At 47.2% G+C, this 15,622-nt stretch overlaps 1 protein-coding gene and 1 long non-coding RNA gene across 8 annotated transcripts in view, besides 3 other annotated features; both read left to right on the forward strand.

Annotated features, from left to right (window-relative positions):
- UBAC2 (UBA domain containing 2) overlaps window positions 1-15,622 on the forward strand; it is a 185,651-nt gene that overhangs the window by 139,334 nt on the left and 30,695 nt on the right. For all 7 annotated transcript variants that reach the window (NR_026644.2, NM_177967.4, XM_011521083.3 and 4 more), the window contains one exon: window positions 133-378. Coding sequence is in view for 6 of the 7 variants with exons in the window: in NM_177967.4 (NP_808882.1) it covers window positions 133-378 (246 nt within the window). In the remaining variant the exon portion in view is untranslated. The remainder of the gene's footprint in view (window positions 1-132; window positions 379-15,622) is intronic.
- Window positions 2,387-2,887: an enhancer, noted in NCBI's record as "H3K4me1 hESC enhancer chr13:99994828-99995328 (GRCh37/hg19 assembly coordinates)". NCBI's record gives its function as "activates a minimal SCP1, AML or CMV promoter by ChIP-STARR-seq in primed H9 embryonic stem cells {active_cell/tissue: H9 hESC(primed)}" and the evidence as "EXISTENCE:reporter gene assay evidence [ECO:0000049][PMID:30033119]".
- Window positions 2,888-3,388: an enhancer, noted in NCBI's record as "H3K4me1 hESC enhancer chr13:99995329-99995829 (GRCh37/hg19 assembly coordinates)". NCBI's record gives its function as "activates a minimal SCP1, AML or CMV promoter by ChIP-STARR-seq in primed H9 embryonic stem cells {active_cell/tissue: H9 hESC(primed)}" and the evidence as "EXISTENCE:reporter gene assay evidence [ECO:0000049][PMID:30033119]".
- Window positions 11,233-11,840, forward strand: FKSG29. The gene has a single exon (NR_024013.1). It is a non-coding gene; the product is annotated as an FKSG29 (long non-coding RNA).
- Window positions 11,608-11,697: an enhancer, noted in NCBI's record as "active region_7933". NCBI's record gives its function as "activates an Ori minimal core promoter by ATAC-STARR-seq in GM12878 lymphoblastoid cells {active_cell/tissue: GM12878}" and the evidence as "EXISTENCE:reporter gene assay evidence [ECO:0000049][PMID:35858748]".

Genomic DNA, 15,622 nt, shown 5'->3' on the forward strand with positions numbered 1-15,622 from the left:
CTTATTGCCTAACACTGCTATGACTAAGAAAAATACCGTGTGCAGTGTCTGGAGGCTGCTGATTTTTGAGTCGTGTACATTTTTTAAAATAATACTACATTTAAACAATCACATTGGACGTTTTTCTTCTAGATGTCCGGTCTGTGCTACGACAGCAAAATGTTCCAGGTGCATCAGGTGCTCTGCATCCCCAGCTGGATGGCAAAATTCTTTTCTTGGACACTTGAACCCATCTTCTCTTCTTCAGAACCCACCAGCGAAGCCAGAATTGGGATGGGAGCCACGCTGGACATCCAGAGACAGCAGAGAATGGAGCTGCTGGACCGGCAGCTGATGTTCTCTCAGTTTGCACAAGGGAGGCGACAGAGACAGCAGCAGGTAAAAGTGATAATAATCACTAAAAATTTAGAAATTCTCAGTGGCCCAAGCAAATCTTTCCTCTGTGATTGCATGTGAGATAGAGACTACATTTTATTCCAGTGCCTTGCAAGTGGATTTTGACATTTCCAAAGAGATTGTAGGTCTCTGTTAGTGGCCATTCTTAGTTTTTTAAAAAGGTAAAAAATAAATTGCAGCTGAAAGATTGGTCAAACTGGACATTCTTGTTCCACCTATATTAGATAAGCATGACTTCTTAGAGAAACACCAACCTAGTTAACAAGATGTGCTATTTATCTGTTTTTATAATCTTGTAAAAGCCACAGTGTCTTCCTGTTAAAATGCTAATCATATGCTATGGAGTGAAGAACAAATGTAAAATTTCTTGATTTTCCTTGGTTGAAATGAAGAGAATATGAAGGCAAGAAGATTTTCAGTGGAACAACCAAGGAGTAGATAAAAAAAAATGCTGTGTTTTCTCAACCTTGCTATCAATAATCAGAAATTATTGCACATTTGTCTACAAATTCTGCATCCAAACAATCTGATACTACATTTGTCTTCCATGGGCAGTGAGAGAAGGAGGGTTAGTGCACATCAGGCTAAAACCTCAGGCCTGATCTTTCTTGGACACTTCTGTGAGCCAGCCCACAGGGCTCCCCATTTTTCGCCTCCACCTTCTTTACCCCTGGGGTAGTTGTAAACCGTACAGTTACCTCTGCCATCTCTCTGTCTTCCACTAGCATTGGATGCAAGAAGTAGGTCTGCAGATCTCACGATGGTTTGGAGAAGTGAAATCAGGTTTGAGGTCCTTAGAGTCCCATTGGAGATGCAGGTCCCAGAGTTTATATCAGGGGGGGGGAGGAAGGGGGCAGCTTATTAGGGGCAGAGTCTACAAGAGAAATAGAGAAGCAAAAGTTGTTTCTTAAAGATGTGCTTGAATTTGAGTGACTCTGGAACATGCCATAAAGATGCCCATGGTGTATTTAAAGCTGGAGGATGGACATCTCTGTCTTGGAAATGTGGAAGCTACATATATATATAGGTGATGGAGTCACCTCTGTAGGGATGAGAGCTGAGAGCCGAAAGCAAAGAAGTAGTAAGTTCTGTAAGAGAAGAGCTACATCCAAGATGAACACAGGCTACAGATGAAGCCTCGTATTTAGCAGGAGGTAAATCCTTCAAGGAAACTGAGAGAAGAGCGAAAGGTATGAGAAATCAGAATGATCAAGGTCAGAAAAACTGAGTAGTGATTGAGTATAAAGGTAGAGGCACAGAGCTTATGAGGGAGAGAAAGAAGTAGGGGATGGTTCTGATGTTTCTGGCCTAGATAATCTTAGATAGATGACTGATAGTTCCATTTCACCAATATCAAAAGAGCAGATTTGGGGGAAATATGTTGTCTGAGATACCTTTGGAATCCTGGGAGGAGATTCTCCATTGGAGAGCTTTGAATTTGTCCTCATAAGCAAACCAGAGAAGTTGCATTTCTCAGATTGGCCTCCCCAGGAAGATTTTTATACAAAGAGTTTATGAGAGAACACCGTCAGCATCAGTATCTATGGGGGCGGGCTGGCGAAGGCAGCAAGATGGGACAGAGGGAGCAGCTGCAGTTCCAGCAAAAGCCTCGCTGGTCTTATGGAGCACAGTGAAGCTGGGAGAGCCCTTCTGAGTTGTCCCAAAATGGGGACCAGTCCTGTTGGGTAAGTCCCATGCGTACGACCTCTTTGAACCTTAATTACCTCCTTAAAGTTCCTACCTTTAAATACAGTCACATCGTAGGGTTAGGGCTTCAGCGTGTGAATTTGGGGCAGGGGCAAGGGGTGGGAGACAGTGTGTTCCATAACACTGCAGAGTGGAAAGGGCCCAGCATAGTCTCGGCGCTGAGTGACTGTTCTGCTTGCAGACGGTAGTTATCAGGCACACACAGTCTCTGTGGATGCCAGGTTGGATGCTCCATAGTGGCAGGAGATAGGTCGGCCTAGGTGAGGGGGACCCACACATTCCTCTGTGCTACCACCATGGCCATCCATTCGTGTGCCAGCGCTGGGTTATCTGGTGATGGAGCCACAGTCATTCTGTCCACCTTCCATTTGGTGCCTTTTCTGTGGTGGATGCCCGTGGTGGGCACGACCTGCAAGACACTTGATGCTGTTCCTTTAGCTGGATCCTCCTTGTTCCCTCCCTTCCAGTCCCCTGACCGACCAACCAGGTGATCTGCCATGCCCAGCAGATCCACACGTGTAATTGCCTCAGGCCACTTCTCTTCACACAGAGTTGATGACCAAATGTGCTGCCCAGGCTCTGCCCATAGGGGGTTCCCCTGATCGCTGTCTTTCAAGATTGAGCCATCATGCAGCCGTTTCTTTCAGCTGCCACTCATGTCCTGAGCCAGCCTGTCCATTTGGCTGTTTTCCCCTCTGTCACTTGGTCATGAGGGGCCCACCAGCTGTGGTAGTCGGTGTTAGCTGGGAAGAGGCTGTGGTGCAGCAGAGGTGGCTGCCAGGGTGGTCTGGCATGCCTGCTTCTGCAGCTCACCCATGCCCTGCAGCCCCACCTATGCTGAGCCCAGATGCCCGTGTCCATCTGATGATGGGTTTCTGTCGGCCCACCTGGCTTGGTAACTTGGTGGGTCTCCACTGCTGACCACATGCTCACTTTGTGGCCTACAGACAGGCACTTCATGGTGCAGCAGCAGTTTATGCAAGTGGGATTCTTGGCTGTTTGCGCACGCCCTCGCTCCAGGATTCTACGGACCCCCATTGTGGTTCTCCTTTCCTGCCTTGCTGTAAACTCCGCACGGTGTCTTTCCCCCCAGATACTTGGAACATCACGGGATCTGCCAGGTTGTACCCAGGCCTCAGGGAATGAGACAGACCCAAACCCCTGCCCTGCTGGAGCGTGCATTCCCACCAGGCGCCTGTGAAGTGGCACAGGCCTTTATGGCTGTCTACACTGCTGTCAGACTCCTCCACTTTCATAGGATGGTCTCACTAACAGATCTGAAGTCCAGAGCAGGACACCAGCCCCTGGGCTCTTGCTGGGCTTTTACGTTGAGTGGTCTGCTGGGCAGCACAGACCAGACTCTTGATTTTTTCCTAAGCTTCCTAAGTTCTCTTCTAGGGTCCGCACATGGGTACACCCAAACCTGAGCACTTAGCCTCCTGCTGAACTTCTTCACTCAGCTGTGTCTCAGTTTTCTTCACATAAGTATGATAAATCACCACGTAGAGAACTCTTTTGTTAAACCACCACTGGAAATTATCTGCCGTATTTGTGTGCATGCACGAGTACCGTACAGGGTGCAGTTGTATTGGAATGTAATACCAGGAGAAAAGTTTATTTTCATTTACTTTTCAACAAATAAGTACTTAGTGCTTATTATATGGTAGGCCTAGAGCTGGACATTGAGGACACAGGTGTAAAAAAGATAGCCCCCAGTCCTTTTTCTTATGGAGCTTAGGTCCTGTCTCTCTTGCAGAATTAGCATGTTTCACTCTTTATCAGTAAGAAGACCACCACCATTTATTTTGCCAGTCCTATAGTAAGTACTCAGTATATGTTATCTCATTTATGCCCGGTGTACGCCTAGAGAGATGCAGGTATTCCCTCATGACCCCGGAGGCTCAGGGGAGTGCTTGCTTGTCCAGGGGCATGCAGCTGTTGATGGGGATCTGGGAGTGAGACCCAGCTGTGTCTGACTCTGAGGTCTCTGTTTCTGATCCCTAACTCATATACCTCCCAATATGAGAGCTCCTTGGTGATTTGTTTTCCCCCTTTTCACTTTGGCTGGCAGGAAACTCAGTGCCAGGCTTCAGGTTTAATTAGGGTTAAGTTAGAACTTTTGCTTCCATCTTCTTCTTTATGTTTCAAATACATGTTTTTGTTGTTTGCTCCTGTATCTTTTATTGTAGGCAATCTCATGCTGTGTATTTCATTTAAAATACAACTGTTATTTATTTAAAAACTTGATTTTTAGATGCTTTTCATAGAATCTGAGTTTATTTAGTCAGAAAGTCATTTTTTTTCAGTTACTAACTGCTGTATGTTACACATGATCTGTCTGCAGTTTTTCATTTCAGGTATTCCAAAATAACACTCAAGTCTTGATTCAGTGTTGTATTTCTTTAGATTTCTCTTGCCTGCTTATGCCAGAGTTCATCCTGCCATCTGGCAGGTGCTCGCTGCCACCCCCTGCCACGTGCTCCTCGTGTGGCTCTGGGGGCACAGTTAGACAGTTAGACTGCTTGGGAAGCTCTCTGACCAATACTGGTGGCTTCGCTGTGGGCACAAAATAAATGAAGAACATGTCCTTTCCCTCCGTGAGTTTGTGGCCAACTTCAGGGAGCTCAGGCAGTTGTAGTTGAAATAGATGAGCATCCAAGAAACAAGGAAATATTTACTGAAGCACCCATGCAGTGAAAATCTGAGGAGAGAGCCACTGGTGTGGACTGATGCTGCCAAAAAAGATTTCAGGAAGTAGAAGGACGGGTGGAATTTGGATGGGTGGAGAGGGTAAGGCACATCATTCCAGAGGAGAGGACCAGCAAGAGTGAGGCATGGAGGTGCTAATGAGACCTTAAAAAGGAGAGACCTCCAGGAGCCCTGTGATTGACATGTGGGCAGATATGTAGTGAGAAATGGGAAATGATATAGTAACTGATAATGGAGGGAGGTAGTTTAAGCCTGACAATAGATTTCGGCTTGGACATTGGCTGTGAAAAATTGTTTATTCAGTAACAAAGATAGGACAGTTATCTCAGAAAAATGTCATTTTATTGCACAGTGTAAGATGGACGGGGGAAAGGAGAAACCACAGAGGAGGAGACAAATAGAAGGAGGTTTCTAAAGCCCGGCTCTCAGAGGAGTGCCTTGGCTGGGCTGATGCTGTACTCTGGATCGAGCTCTCCTTCCTCTGTTCACTCCCTAAATAGGTTGTTTCCCAAGACTCAGTTCTCTGCCTACTGAGCTTTTCACGTTAGACACCCAAGGGGACCCACCCAGCCCCTGTCCTCACCACTTTATTGAGCTCATGGCTCCCATGAGTCCCTCAAGATCTAGAGACTGGACCTCCCTCTCTCCTGGGGCTCCAGACCGAAATATCCTACTGCCTATAGTACATCTCCACTTCACTGTCCCATCAGCTCTTGACAGGTACTGTTTCTTTTTTTCTTTCTTTTTTTTTTTTTTTTTTTGAGACAGAGTCTTGCTCTGTTGCCCAGGCTGGAGTGCAGTGGCGTGATCTTGGCTCACTGCAACCTCTGTCTCCTGGCTTCAAGCAATTCTCCTGCCTCAGCCTCCCGAGTAGCTGGGATTACAGGCGCTCACCACCACATCCGGCTAATTTTTGTATTTTTAGTAAAGACGGGGTTTCACCATGTTGGCCAGGCTGGTCTTGAACCCCTGACCTCATGATCCACTTGCCTTGGCCTCCCAAAGTGCTGGGATTACAGGCGTGAGCCACCGCACACAGCCGACATGTACTGTTTCTTTGCTAAATTTGTTTCCCTTTCTCACTCCCTACCTGATGAAAAGCACCCATTGTTTACCCGAAAGTCCAAACCTAGGGTTTCACCCCAGACATTTCCCACTTATACATCCATGTCCTTCCTGCCTTCCCCACCAGTTCAGCCCCAAAGAGTCTCCCTCCTTGATGTAAGTCCGTCATTCATCTCCAGTGCTGTAGTTCAGGCCACCGGCGCCATTTGCCTGGATTTCTTCCCTCCCATCTCCATCACCGACTGCCTCCCTCCTGAGCCTGCCCCACAGCCTCCACCAGTGATCTCTGTGAAAACAGAAATCTGCTTGTTTCACTCCAGCTATCATCCTTCAGGGCCTCTCCATAGCTTTCAGGGTGGTTCCAACACAAGGCTCCTGCCTGCTATGTGGCCGCATCTCCTTTCTGCTGCCGTGTGCAAGCCCTTAGGCCAGCCATGCCTCACCGGGTTACTCACAGTTAACTGCTGCTCATATTGTTTCACGCAGTCTCACCTTTACATCTTCCCTTTCCTCTCTGCCCAGAATGAACTTCCCTGTACCAACCCCTTCACCCCACCCCTCCCACATACACATCATTTTCACTTGTCTAGCTGCTATTTACTCGGCATTCCTGACAAATATCGCCTCCTCAGGGAGGCCTTCCCCAGCTTCCTGGGGGGCTCCCAGGGCTCTCTCTGCCCCTGTAGACACTGCCTGTCTCTCGTGGCACCGCAAACCCGATGTTCACTGGTGATTTACTGCCCTTTCTCCACCAGTGTGTCTCCGGATGGAGCAGACTTGTTTTCTGTATATCTCCAGTGTGTGAATAATGCCTGGCAGATGTTAGGAACTGTGGGAATTAATGAGCAAATATGAGCATAATAAATAGATACAGAAAGACTTTAAGCAAGCTGAACACAGATGAATAATCAGGGCTGGAAACATCTACAGAGGTTGAGTGCAGTGGTTCACGCCTGTAATCCCAGCACTTTGGGAAGCCCAGGCGGGCAGATTGCTTGAGCCCAGGAGTTTGAGACCAGCTTGGGCCACATGGTGAGACCCCCATCTCTATTTAAAGAAAAAAAAAGATCTACGGATACTCTTGAGAGAACAGTAGAAAGCAAGACCCATGTCTAGAGAGTGCAAAGAGGGAAAAAAAAGAACCCCCAGGGACCAAGGAGAAAACCAGTTCAGTGGCCAGGGAGCCTGCGGAGTAGAATGTTTCAGGAAGAGTAGGTGTTTCAGGAACAGATTCAGACGTTACTATCCCCGGGCGCCCCCCCCCCCCCCCAGGAAAAAAAAGGCAAGTGAAGATGATACTGGAAGACCACCACTGGATTCAGCAGAATGAGTTCACTTTTGAAAGGGGCTTCGGTGGAGAGATGGGGATGAGAAGCGCTGCATGAGCTGGAAGTGGGGGAAGGTCAATATCACTCTGTTCTGACTGGCTGCCCTCATTCTGGGACATCACTGTGGTCACGCTGGTCCCCGTTCAAGTTACTTTCACTCTGTGAGAAAGTCAATATGATCTTATGCTCCTGAAGCATTTTTAGTCCACTGTGTGGCATATTCCCATTCCACAGCTCTGATGAACAGTGACCAGGGTGATGGCTCTATAGATCTCACTTCAACTGAGACATGAGACCTAGGTGCTGACAGGGGCAGGGTACAGTGGTCCCATGCTCATCATTAAGCACAGGCATGTGATAACGTCATCTAGTGTGCTTTGACCTCCTACAGATCTTTCTGGACATTTCCCGCCAGCACTGACTATCCAGAGGCCTTTGGAGGCTTGTCTCATGGGCCTGTGGCAGTGAAGATGGAGTGGGCTGCAGAGTATTAGCTGCAGCCTGTGGTGCCCACTTCTTATCTCCCTCCACATCCACAGCTGTCCCATTCTTTTGTAAACTCGGGACACTATGCTGGACACACATAAGCTGCTCTCAGTAGTTCCTTGCCCGCTGACTCACTCTTGTCTCCCAGCAGAGCTGCCTTCTCCAAAGCAGGTGGCATCTCAGAGTCATTTTGCTACTTGCAGCTGTGATCATCTTTACACTGCCAGGGCCATTACATAACTTTTCATGGGTTTGTGTTTTGTTCATCCCCAGTAGAATATGAGCTCTTGGAGGACAGGAGCTGTTGTACTTCTTTGTCTTTTGGCTCTAATGCAGTGTACTGCCCTGAGGGATTAAATAAGACGCCGCCTGCGCCTTCAAGAAGTTTGCAGCCAGCGAGGGGAAGACATGAGGCTGTACTAGGCACTAGGTTTCTACAGGAGTCTGTGCAAAGAGAAGAAAAAAGAACCCTGAGCCTAAACAGTGGGTGTGGCCAGTTCTCCCTAAGGGATACAGCGAGGGTAATCTTGAGGCCAGCATTGGGGCAGGTGTTTCAGTCACGGGGGGCCTTATGAAAAAACGCACAGGGGCTCAAAACAGCTGTGGGGACAGCAAGGAATTGCATTCGCCTGAGATTGAGGTTCCTATAAGAAAGAGGCAATGAAAGACATGGTTGGGAAGAGAGCAGAGGCCAGGACGGGTCTTCTACCAAACTAAGAATTGCTGTTGTGTTCATCCTGCCAGAAGTGGTGGATCAGTGAGGCCTTTTAAACAGGAGAGTAAGTTAGATTTATTTTTAAGAAAGCTCACTTTAGTCATAATATGAACGTTGTCTGAAGGGATGACGGTAGGCTGGCCACAGTGGCTCATGCCTGTAATCCCAGCGCTTTGGGAGGCCAAGGCAGGAGGATAGCATGAGCCTAGGAGTTTGAGACCAGCCTGGGCAACATAGTGAGACCTCTTCTCTACAAAAAAATTTTTTAAATCAGCTGGGCGTGGTGGCCTGTGCCTGTAGTCCCAGCTACTCAGGAGGCTGAGATGGAACGATCACTTGATCCCTGGAGGTCAAGGTGCAATCACGGCTCAAAAAGAAAAAGAAAAGAAAAGGTGACACTAGAGGAAGAAGACCAGGTGGGAGACAGTGAAAATTCTGTGTGCTCAGGATATTGTTGGTGATGAGCTAGAGCATGCTTAGCTCATCACAGTGAAGGACGAGGGCAGGCTTTGCAGAGCCTCCTTGTCTTCAGACCTCCAGATCAATTACTGGAGTCTCCTGTAGTAATGATCATCCGAATGGTGCCTGTGCAACCTGAGTCTCCACAGCTTCACGGTGCATGTCTCCCTCCCTTTGCTCGCTGTAGCAAAGAAGCTCTGTGTGCTGTGATGAGAAAGATGTATCTGTTCTCTACCACTGGCCCCTGACACACAGCACCTAAAGCCCTTGGAATCTCCACAGTGAGCATAGGGTCCAGCCCTACAGGGCTTAGCAGGTGTTCTCCCCATGTGCGGAGATGAGATTGTAATAAATAAAGACACAAGACAAAGAGATAAAGAGAAAACAGCTGGGCCCGAGGGACCACTGCCATCAAGATGCGGAGACCAGTAGTGGCCCTGAACGGCTGGGTGCGCTGATATTTATTGCATACAAGACCGGGGGTCAGGGTAAGGAGGGTGAATCTTCTAAGTGATTGACAAGGTGAAGCAAGTCACGTAATCACAGGACAGGGGGGCCCTTCCCTCTTAGGTAGCCGAAGCTGAGAGAGAGAAGGCACCATACGTCAGCGTTTTCTTCTATGCACTTATAAGAAAGATCAAAGACTTTAAGACTTTTACTATTTCTTCTACTGCTATCTACTACGAACTTCAAAGAGGAACCAGGAGTACGGGAGGAACATGAAAGTGGACAAGGAGCGTGACCGTTGAAGCACAGCATCACAGGGAGGGGTTTAGGACTTCGGATGACTGCGGGCAGACTGGGATAATATCCAGCCTCCCACAAGAAGGTGGTGGAGCAGAGTGTTCCCTGACTCCTCCAATGAAAGGAGACTCCCTTTCGCGGTCTGCTAAGTAATGGGTGTCTTCGCAGACACTGGCATTACCGCTTGACCAAGGAGCCCTCATGCCGGCGTGACAGAGGGCTCACCTCTTGCCTTCTAGGTCACTTCTCACAATGTCCCTTCAGCACCTGACCCTATGCCCGCCGGTTATTCCTAGGTTATATTAGTAATGCAACAAAGAGTAATATTAAAAGCTAATGATTCATGATGTTTATAATGATTGATAATGTCCATGATCATCTCTATATCTAATTTGTATTATGACTACTCTTACTCTATTTTCTTTTTTATACTGAAACAGTTGTGCCTTCAGTTTCTTACCTCGGCACCTAGGTAATCCTTCGCCCACAGTGAGAAGTGTCTTTTCACATGGATGACTGATGTCCAGGCTCTCCTGGATAGCCTCAGATGGGGGCTGGTTACCAGGGGAACTAATAAGTGATTAGAGGGTTGAGACTTTCAGCCCCACCCCCAACCTCTGTGATTAGGGAGAGGGGTTGAGTTGATCACCAATGGCCAGTGATATAATCAATTATATCTACATAATGAAGCTTCCATAAAACCCCCAAAGGACAGGGTTTAGAGAACTTCCAGATTGCTGAATGTGTGCTGGAGCAGGGTGCAGGGGGTGCCAGAGAGGGGCAGGGGCCATGCCCCATGCCTTGCCCTGTGCATCTCTTCCATCTGACTGTTCATCTGTATCCCTTGCAATATCCTTTCTAATAAATGGGTAGATGTCAGTGTTTCCCTGAGTTCTGTGAGCCATCCTAGCAAATTAACTGAACCCAAGGAGTGGACCACGGGAACCCTCATTTATAGCACGTTGGTTAGAACCGCAGGTTAGGTCTGGCGATTGCCATCTGAAGTAGGGGAGCAGTCTTGTGGGAGTGGGCCCTTAACCTGTGGGCTCTGATGTTATCTCCTGGGAGACAGTGTGGGGATTGAGTTAAATTATAGGACACCCTGCTGGTGTCCACTGGAGCACTGCTTGGGGTATGAAGCCCCCCAGCACATCTGGTGTCAGAATATTGTGTTGAGTCGTGTGTGAGTGTAGAAAGGAAGAAAACAGTGTTGTTTTTCTTCAGAGCCATGCTCACAATAGAAAGCAGCGTAATATAATGAAAAGAACAAGAATGGGCAGTTAGGGACTCAATCCTGGGTTGACAGGGACATCTATACACAATCTGTAGAATACTGTTGTCATTGGGGATAAAAAAAATTATACAAAATTACCTTAGGTACCAGAGGCTCTATCAGATATTAGTTATTATCATAGTATTGGGCATCTGTTTTTGTGGCTCTCAGGAAGTTTGAGAGAGTCCTAATTTAGGAGCCAACCTTGATAGTTATTACTCGTAAAAGCTTGTAACCTCTAGAGCAACAGTCAGCAGGTGATGGCCTGTGGGCCAAACTACCTGTTTTTGTACAATCTGAAGCTAGGAACAGGTTTTACATTTTAAATGGTTATATAGGTAACTACATAGTATCTTTGATCTCTTGCCTCTTTATCTTCCAAACCTAAAATGTTTACCACCTGGCCCTTTACAGAAAAATATTTGCCAGTCCCTGCTGTAGAAGGTTATATAGCCAGCAGCTTTCAAAGTAACCTTTTACCTGGAAATGTGAATTCTCTCTTAGTTCTGGTCATCTGTTATTTGTGGGAGCCAATCCTCTCTCTGTTGGCTGATGATGAGAATTCTGTTATATACCACAACACAAACTTGGGGATAAAACTTTCCATTAGGCATTTCTGTAAAATTTCCATCTATTTTAGAAGCAGAACTAAGGTGAAGCCCAGTGTGAATGAATCCTGCTTGTTGGTACAAGCCAAGTGGGACATTTGGCAGCAAAGCCCAGGAGTCCTTGGTGCTCTTCTTTTAACTGCCTCCTCATCTCATTGGGCTGCCCGGTGTTAACTGGTTGATTATCACCTCTGTGTTTTGCCTGCAAGGAAAGAAGCTACTGACACCCAGAGTGGCTCAGCGATACTCACACGTGCTTTCAGTTACTTTCGCAGCATTTGGTTAAAGTGAGTTTAGCTGCACATCCTCACTTGGTAACATTCTGTGGCTGTGAAAATTGTTTCTCTCTTTATCCTCCCCCAGCAACAGCCATTTGGTATCATCTGAGATGTGCACCAGGAGGCAGATCTGCCCTGTCAATCATGAGAGTTCCTATCATTAATCAAGTATTTTGAATTCAATAACTTTTTTTAGTGTTTTAAAAGTATTTACTGGTCCTTGATGTATTTTTTAGCAGCTGATGGAATTCACATACCATATAACTCACCCCCTCGAAGTGTACAGTTCGGTGGTTTTTAGTATTTTTTAATTGCACAAATACCGTAATTTGAGAACATTTTTCATCACCCCAAAAGAAACTGCGCCCCATTAGCAGTCATTCCCATCCGCCCTGTCCTAGGCAGCCACTTAATCTACTTTCTGTCTCTGTAGACTTGCTTATTCTGGACATTTTATAGAAATGGAAGCATATGTAGCTGATCTTTATGACTGGCTTCTTTCGCTGAGCTTCACGTTTCTGAGGTTGACGCATGTTGCAGCATGGTTGATTTTCCCTCTGTGGTTTAGATAGCAAGATCTGCCTAGTAGAGCTTTATGTGTGCAAGTGCCACTCCACCAGACCAGTTTCTGTCACTGCCCCTTCATCAGGCCAGCTTCCTTAGGAAGCTTCCTGTTGCCTCTTGGCCTCACCAGTGCTACCATTTTCATTACCGTCTATTCCGCAGAATACACGCAGTGCCAGGCTCTGGTGAGTCCCACAGTGACCAAGGCAGCACGATCCCTCCTCTCCCTGAGCTTAGAGTAGAAAGCGTCAGTTACAGTGAAATGTGATGGTCACTCTTCTGGGAGAAATGTGTAGTGCAGTCAGGAAGAGTCAAGAAATTGTGTCTGGAGGCAGCACCGTCGGAAACTCTCTACCTCCGTCTCCACCCCTGTGTCCGGGGTAGGGGCAGTGCACGTGTGTTGCAAAGGAGTCCACCAGGAATCCAAAGGGAGCGAATTCTCATGTGTCCCGAGCATCCTCAGAGACAGCAAGCTGGCACGTGGCACCCTCCTCAGCACTTTTCCTTTTTGGCTATGCTCTTTCACTTTTTGGTGCAATTTGATTTGAAAACGATTCTTTTCAAGTTGCTATGCTTCCTTGTCAACAAAGCAGTCTAATCAGTTAAAGCTAGTTCTTTTATGACTTTCTTCTTTCAAGAGTTTATAAGTATATAGCATCAGATGTGGAATAAGTTACTAGTGCTTAGTTGATAAAAATCTGCAAATTAAATGAAAATTACTTGCAAGAACTCTATTTTCAGTGAAGTTACAGCTACGCTGTTTATCTCAATCTGTACCTCCTTGCAGAAGCTACTGCTGTGTTTCCAGTGCTTTTGTAGTTGATCATACTGATCTTTTTGACAAAATTCAGAACAGAAAGATAGGATCAATCTAAAGTGTGATCCTTTTCCAAGACTGACTCATTAAGTGACCTTGAGAAAATCATTTCTATTTTCCATCCTGCCTTGGTGTCTTCATGAGAAAAAAGAGCGAGGTACAGTCTCATGATACCTCAGAAAACAAGCAAATGATGATGATGTACTTGGCTTTTTGAAGATGTAAAAGTTATCAGTAATCCTAATTCTTTTCCTGGGTTTTCCTTTTGTCACTTATTAATCAGTTTTTGAAAGGACGAATGAATTTAGAGATGTACTCTGGAGCAGTATCATGTTAAACCAGGGGTATATTAGAAAAATCATCCTCATAATCATTCTGGGAAGTTTTTCCTCCCCAAAAAAAGCCATCCTGATGGGTTTTCAAAACCAGAAAAAAGCTCTTAATGAGGAACAGACCACTGGAGTACCCATGAGCATCTCAGGAAAACTGAGACCCTCGAGAAGCCTTGATTTCGTGCAACCCCCAAGGTTTCAGAGCCAGCAGCCCAGTGCTGTGGTTGACAGACGTGGTTTTGTGGAGAAAGCAGCCAGAGGCCAGGAATTTTCAGAGTCGTGAGTCACGATCTCCCACCCAAGATTAGAGCACAGATTAGCCATACTGAGATTTGGTAAAATCATTCTGTCTAAGCAATGGAGGTGTGTGCACACGTGCAGTGCCTGTTCACAGGGGATGCAGGCAGATCGTGGGTTTAGGATGGGGGAGGCCACCGCACCCCCCTTCACTGCTCTGCACCTGCTCCCTCACGTGGACACTGTCCACAACTGTGGCTCTCACAGGACAGTTGCCCAAGGAGCTCATATCTTATTGGAGATAGGGGGTTGTACAGGTGACATTCATGAGCAGTGTGAGCCGGGTGACATGGGGGTGTCAACCCAGCATCTGTCCAGGAGCTCCTCCTGCAGCGGCTCTGGCAGGTGGCCTGAGGCTCCTTTTTGAGAGAGAACTGTTTGGCCTTCCAGATGTTCTTTAATATAATGATTGGGAAGAGACAGCTCATAACTAGCTTAAGGCTATCTAGTCCAGCTTTCCATTTTACAGCTGGGGAAACCCAGACTCAGGGTTTTATTCTCTGTTCACTTGGCGGCTTGGCTGAGTTCTGTGGAAGTTCAGCAGAGCAGGGGAACAGGAGGGTTTGGGTTGCAGAGAAAGAAGCCACTTACAGATGGGAAACAGGAGTTGGGCCCTATGCAAATGGAAGGGACCAGGGAGGGCACTTTAGGTGGCAGGGACAGTTTGAGCCGACATAGTAATTTAGGATGTAATTTAGAGAAGTAATTTACGATGGGGCTGGTTTGGGCAGACCTGCAAAACAGGACAGACTCAGACAGGATGCCCGAGGGTTTTTGGTTGAGGCAGTGTCATTGTGAAAGGGCTTCTTGTGCACACTCACTGACCGTGGCATGCAGATTGGATTGGGGAAATCTTACTGGCAGTCATGTCATCCAAGAAGTTGTTGGCATAATCTCGGAGTGCAACAGCAAGGACCTAAACGGGCAGATCCTCTCCCAGGGGAAAATCAGTAGTCCTTCAGCGTTGGCTGGGTTTGATGGACAGAGGAGAGCTGAGTCCAGACATGAGCTGGGAAGTGGACATCCGCCTGCCACGGTGAACGCAGATAGGCAAGTGCGGGAATGAGACTCAGGTGGTCACTGAAGACATGAAAATGGATGAACTCTCCACGGAGGAAATGTAAGAAGAGGGGAAACCTTGAGTAATCCCCAGTCTCATTTTTAATTAGGAGTTTCACCTCTGTTTCTGTCAAAACATTTACTGTAACAAGTACCAAAACTAATTTTAATTTTGACTTTTACTTTATAATTTGTGTGTAGAGCCAATGCTGGGAAGGAAAAAATGACCCCAAATTTGGCAGACAAAAGAATGAAGGAAGGGAAAACAGAATATACGATGCAGAAATGGATAATCCACACTCTGAGAGATGCACTTCCATTCTTATGTCTTCAAGGCCACTGTCTCAGTCCTCGCTGTGTGGCCCTTACCGTCACCAGCGTTCAGTGCTTACAGGTGTGTCACTCAGTCGAGGGAGTGAGGAAGCTGCAAGACAAGGCCTTGGCATGCTCTTCCTGCGCTGATGTCCCTGACCTGCAGCTGGGCTGTGGGCTGTGGAACCCTGTGGTCCCCCCACGCCACCCTCTCACCACCACCTCCTCCTCACAGAGCAGCCTTAGCATTCTCATTCTCTACCAAAACCAAAACCAAACCAAAACACAGGAAAAGGTTGGGACACCTCTGGTCCTGACGGTCCCTGGAGGAAAAGTTCCCCATGAGGAGTGATGGGTCAGTCACGTTTTCAAAACAAACGAGAGCCAGGACGCAGGCCTGTGGCTCAGCCCGCAGCGTGCTTGGTGCCACAAGCCCCCCCGCAGCTGCCCAGAGTCTCACCCCACTCTGTGCA

Source organism: Homo sapiens, chromosome 13, assembly GCF_000001405.40.
Source record: "Homo sapiens chromosome 13, GRCh38.p14 Primary Assembly".
In the NCBI taxonomy this organism is placed as follows: Eukaryota; Metazoa; Chordata; class Mammalia; order Primates; family Hominidae; genus Homo; species Homo sapiens.